This window comes from Homo sapiens, chromosome 5, assembly GCF_000001405.40.
Source record: "Homo sapiens chromosome 5, GRCh38.p14 Primary Assembly".
NCBI classification, from domain to species: Eukaryota; Metazoa; Chordata; class Mammalia; order Primates; family Hominidae; genus Homo; species Homo sapiens.
Window position 1 is genome coordinate 131,417,179 of NC_000005.10, and position 6,016 is coordinate 131,423,194.

General features: G+C 40.4%; 1 long non-coding RNA gene across 2 annotated transcripts in view; it reads right to left on the reverse strand.

Moving 5' to 3' along the window:
• Positions 1-5,524, reverse strand: part of LOC105379173 (uncharacterized) — a 28,063-nt gene extending 22,539 nt beyond the window's left edge. Inside the window, exon 1 of one of the 2 annotated variants that reach the window (XR_007058929.1) lies at positions 4,832-5,524. This is a non-coding gene — a long non-coding RNA (uncharacterized LOC105379173). Of the gene's footprint in view, positions 1-226; positions 782-4,831 lie in introns of those variants that run through there. The other variant, XR_007058930.1, reaches the window with a different exon arrangement.
• Between the last annotated feature and the right edge of the window lie 492 nt (positions 5,525-6,016).

Here is a 6,016-nt window from a genome sequence, read left to right on the forward strand (position 1 = left end):
TGAAAAAATCCAATGCTTACTGAGTATTGCAAATCCTATGCCCACATTTACAAACAATATACATATTAGAGTATTGCTAATACCATACTATCATTCACTGTTATCCAAAGATTATCCAACTAGAACCTAAAATTCTATGACATTTCCTGGTTTGGAAATGCTTCAATTTTGTCAAATATTTCACTATTGGCTGCAGAAACATCTGCAATGACGACTAAGAAATTACCTTGCTCTCTCTTTAAAAGGAGACTTCCAAGAGTCATATTGTAGCGTGGCGCCACCTGGTGGTTCCACTGTATCCAACGTATTTTTTTTCTTCTACCATCTCTTCCCCCTTTCAGCCCTTTTCTTGTTTCTCCTCTTCCCAGGTTCATCTGCCACTACATTCCACATTAGACAGCAGCACAGTTAACACTTCGCCATGGCCAATTCCGAACCTATGCAGAGTTTTACAGAATGAGATAAAGCACTTCTCTGTATGTTTATTAGATAATTTTTTCTTTTATGAAGTGCTTCATTAAGGTTTTTGCCCATTTTTCTATTGGGTGTTCCTTTTCTTTGGTATACAGAAGTACTTTACATACCTGGACACCTGTCCTTTGACGGTTATATGAATTAATATATTTCCCAACTCTACAGGCTTTTTGTTTTTGTAAATGGTGTTTTTTGGTGAATGCATTCTAGTATAGTCAAATATATCAATCACTTCATTTAGAGTTACATTTTCTTTTACCTTATTTAAGGAATCCTGGCCAGGCGCCTGTAATCCCAGCACTTTGGGAGGCCGAAGTGGGCAGACCACTTGAGGTCAGGAGTTCAAGAACAGCCTGGCCAACACGGTCAAACCCTGTCGCTACTAAAAAAAATACATACAAAAATCAGTCGGGCGCAGTGGTGCGCACCTGTAATCCCAAGCTGCTTGGGAGGCTGAGGCAGGAGAATCGCTTGAACCTGGAAGGCGGAGGTTGCAGTGAGCCAAGACAGTGCCACTGCACTCCAGCTTGGGTGACAGAGTGAGACTCTGTCTCAAAAAAAAAAAAAAAGAAAAAGAAAAAAGAAATCCTTATTACTTCTGAAATTTTGTTATACAACTTTGTTATTTCTTCTGTAAGTGTTTGGTAGAACTTACCAGTAAAGTCATCCAAGACTGAAGTTTTCTCTGTGGAAAAGCTTTTAAAGAGGATTTAATTTCTTTAATAGAGGACTATGAAGTTTTCCATCTTGTTATAGTTTTGTTAAGCTGTGTTTTCTATGAATTTGTATATTTCATGTACATTTTACTTACTCAAAGTGTCTTAATATCTCTCTAATTTCTTTGTAATTATAGTAATTCTGGCTGAGGTGGGTGGGTCACAAGGTCAGGAGATCAAGACCATCCTGGCTAACACGGTGAAACTCTGTCTCTACTAAAAATACAAAAAGTTAGCCGGGTGTGGTAGCATGCGCCTGTAGTCCCAATTACTCAGGAGGCTGAGGCAGGAGAATTGCTTGAACCTGGGAGGCAGAGGTTGCAGTGAGCCAAGATCACGCAACTGCACTCCAGCCTGGGTGAGAGAGCGAGACTCCTTCTCAAAAAAAAAAAAAAAAAAAAAAAAAAAAAAAAAAAAAAAATATATATATATATATACACACACACACACATATATGTACATAAATATATATTTATATATACGTATATATACATGTATATATACGTATACATATACACATATATATGTATACGTATATATACATGTATATATACGTATATATAAATATATATTTTATATATAAATAAAAAATATATTTTATTTATATATACACATATATAAGTATACATAAATAAAAAATATATATAAATTAAAAAATATATATATATAAATAAAATAATTCTTTGGTTGGGTACAGTGGCTCATGCCTGTAACGCCAGCACTTGGGGAGGCCAAGGTGGGAGGATTGCTTGAGCTCAGGAATTCAAGACCAGCCCAGGGAATATAGTGATATCTCATTTCTCTTTAAAAAAATAAAATAAATAAGTAGCCGGGCACACCTGTAATCTCAGCTACTCAGAAGACCGAGGTGGGAGATCACTTGAGGTTGAGGCTGCAATGAGCTATGACTGTACCACTGCACCCCAGCCTGGGCAACAGAACAAGATCCTGTCCCCACCCCCGCCCACCAAATAATAATTCTTTTCCATCTCCAACACTGGTTAGTTCTGCCATTTTTTCCCTTGATCATTTTCACCAAGGGTTTACCAATTATTTTTTCAAAAAGCAATTCTCGTGCCTCAGCCTCCCGAGTAGCTGGGACTACAGACACTCGCCACCACGCCTGGGTAATCATATCCAAAAGGTTCTGATATTCTTATTTTCATTTCAATTCGGTTCAAAATACTTTCCATTTTCCACTGGATTTGGAGCTACATTTCTTCCAAATTTCATAATTTTTATTTAGTTCTTCTGTAATCAGACTGCCTTCTCTATATGATTTAAGCCCTCTGAAATTTATTAGTAAGTTTCTTTATGGCCTAACATTTATTCAACTTTGATAAATGATCCATGTTCATCTGTAAATAACATATATTTTGCAGTTATTGATACAGTGTTCTATACAGGCCCATTAGATTAAGTTTGTTCACTATGTTGTTCCAATCACTATTTCCTTACTGATTTGGTGGGAAGGGGTGTGTGTGTGTGTGTGTGTGTGTGTGTGTGTGTGTGTGTGTGTGTGCTTCTATCATTTCCTGAGACAGCTGTGTTAAAATCTTATATATAGACTTCTACTTTTGGTCAAGATGGAATACCTGTCACTCTATCCTCCTGCCTGAAGCAACTAAAAAACTGAACAACGTAGGTAAAACAATGTCACTTAAGACACGGGCCATCAGGCACTGAAGAACAGTAACTGCTGACCGAACATGAAACAAAAGAGGTAAGCCCTGCCGCTGCCCCAGAATTTATTTCCTGAACAACATTTCTAGGCCATAATGCAAGGGAGGGGAAACCCAGACCAGAGTCCACCAATTTTTCCAGATTTTAAGAGACAGAGGCAAGAGTCAGGGAGGCTAAAGGGCTACAGTTCAATCTTTCATAAACTCTCCCAAGAATAGACAAAGAGGAAACAACTTCCAGCTCTTTCCACGAGGACATTTTTACATTAACACCAAAATCTGACAAGGGTATGAAAAGAAAGGAAAATTATACACCACCTCTCTCTTGAATACAGATGCTAAAATTCTAAATGAAATATTGCAGCCGGGCGCAGTGGCTCACTCCTGTAATCTCAGCACTTTAGGAGGCTGAGGTGGGCGGATCACGAGGTCAGGAGATCGAGACCATCCGGGCGAACGCGGTGAAATCCTGTCTCTACTAAAAACACAAAAAAATTAGCTGGGCGTGGTGGCAGGAGCCTGTAGTCCCAGCTACTCGGGAGGCTGAGGCAGGAGAATGGTGTGAACCCAGGAGGCGGAGCTTGCAGTGAGCCAAGATCACGCCACTGCACTCCAGCCTGGGCAACAGAGCGAGACTCTGTCTCAAATGAAAAAAAAAAAAAAGAAAGAAATATTGCAAAATAAATCCAGAGATACACAGAAATAACATGACTAAGTAGGAAGTTTATTCTAACAAAACGAATGGTGAGGTAGGAGGGCAGGAGTAGACACGGAGGAATTAACACTATGAAATATATTATTAATTCACTAGACTAACAGGTAAGAGAAAAATAATTTGATCATCTCAATAAATTCAAGAAAAGCATTTGACATAATTCAACAGCATATACTTTCTTAGCAAGGTATAAATAAAACTTCCTTAAACTCATAAATACCACCAAAATCCTACAGCAATCACTATGCTCAACGGTGACATCCGAATGCGTTCTCGCTGAGATCAGGAACAAAGAAAGGAATTCCATTCTGACCACTTTTTGAGACAGGGTCTCACTCTGTCACCCAGGCTGGAATGCAGTAGTGTGATCAAAGCTCACCTCCTAGGCTCAAGTGATCCTTCTACCAACTAAGCCTTTTAAGTAGCTGGGACCACAGCTGTGCACTGGCACACCCAGCTAATTTTTTGTAGAGATGGGGTTTCACCATGTTGTCCAGGATGGTCTCGAACTCCCGGGCTCAAGCAATCCTCCCACCTCGGCCTCCCAAGGTGCTGGGATTACAGGTGTGAGCCACTGGATCTGGCCCACTCTGACCACTTCTATTCAACACTATACTGGGCATTTTGGCCAGTGCAGTAAGACAAGAAAAGAAACCAGCACTTTGGGAGGCCGAGGCGGGCGGATCACGAGGTCAGGAGATCGAGACCACCCTGGCTAACACGGTGAAACTCTGTCTCTACTTAAAAAAAAAAAAATACGAAAAATTAGCCAGGCGCAGTGGTGGGTGCCTGTAGTCCCAGCTACTCGGGAGGCTGAGGCAGGAGAATGGCGTGAACCTGGGAGGCAGAGCTTGCAGTGAGCCGAGATAGCACCACGCAGTCCGGCCTGGGCAAAAGAGCGAGACTCCGTCTCAATAACAACAACAACAACAACAACAAAAGACAAGAAAAGAAAATACAAAATGACTAGAAATAAATAAGTTATTATGAACAGATATGAGTATGCAGAAAATTCCAAGAGAATCCACAAATTGTTAGCATTAATAAATGAACTGAGCAAGAGAGCTAGATATAAGGTCATTATAAAAATCAATAGTTCAATACTGTAGCAACAAATAGTAAACAATTACAGACCTGAATAGACTTCACAAAATGGTCCAAATGGTCAATAAGTATTTGAAAAGATGCCTAGCATTATTAGTCACTATTAAAATTTAAACCACAAGATACCAGTATATACTTACCAGAATGTCTGAAATGAGAAAAATAATAGGCTGACCAGGCTTCTCCAGAGGCACCTTCTGGGAGAGCCAGTTCTTCTCTTCGTCTATCAAGTGCTTCTTGGGGGTGGAAGAAGTTAAAGGAAGTGTATTTCTGGACCAACACATCCTTAACTGCAGGGACTGGATTTCTGACATCAGACATATATAGTAACTTGCATTTGTTTCCTAGAGTTGCTGTAACAGATTACAACAAATCGGGTGGCTTTAAGACAACAGAAATTCATCATCTCACCATTTTGGAGGCCAGAAATCCAAAATCAAGATGTTGGCAAGGCACCATTTCCTCTAGAGGCTCTAGGAGAGAATACCTTCCTTGTCTCTTCTAGCTCCTGGAAGCTGTCAACATTACTCGACTTGTGGCTACATCCCTCTCTGCCATCTTCATGTTGCCTTCTTCTGGTATCTTCCTTTGTTTCTCTTACAAGGGCACTTGTGATGGCATTCAGGCCCCACTCATAATCTCATCTCTAAAATGCTTAATTACATCTGCAGAGACCCTTTTTCCAAATAAAGTAATATTTACAAGTTCTCCAGGGATTAGAGCTTGATATTTTGGGGTAGCCGTTTTTCAATTATACTTATTTTCTACTTAAAAAAAATTTCATTTCACCAGTGCCATCTGATACAAATATAAATATGTGTATTTTTTCTTTTCTTTTTTTTTTTTTTTGAGACAGTTTTGCTCGCTGCCCAGGCTGGAGTGCAATGGTGCAGTCTTGGCTCACTGCAACCTCCGCCTCCTGAGTTCAAGAGATTCTCCTACCTCAGCCTCCAAAGTAGCTGGGATTACACGACCCCGCCACCATGCCCCGCTAGTTTTTGTATTTTTAGTAGAAACGGGGTTTCACCATGTTGGCCAGGCTGGTCCTGAACTCCTGACCTCGTGATCCGCCTGCCTCGGCCTCCCAAAGTGCTGGGATAACAGGCGTGAGCCACCATGCCCGGTGAAGAAATATATTTTCTAAATAAAGAAACTAGTGAGACTGTGGAGAGATGGTCAGGGGGACAGAATGGCCTGGGAAAACCTGGTGAAGAGGGGGTGAACTGGAAGAAGGTAGAAGTCTTAGCTATAATGGGAGTAACATTCTCTGGGTACCGAGGGAAAACTGTGAGGAGATTTTAAAAAAGGAGCTAAAGTAGAATTTC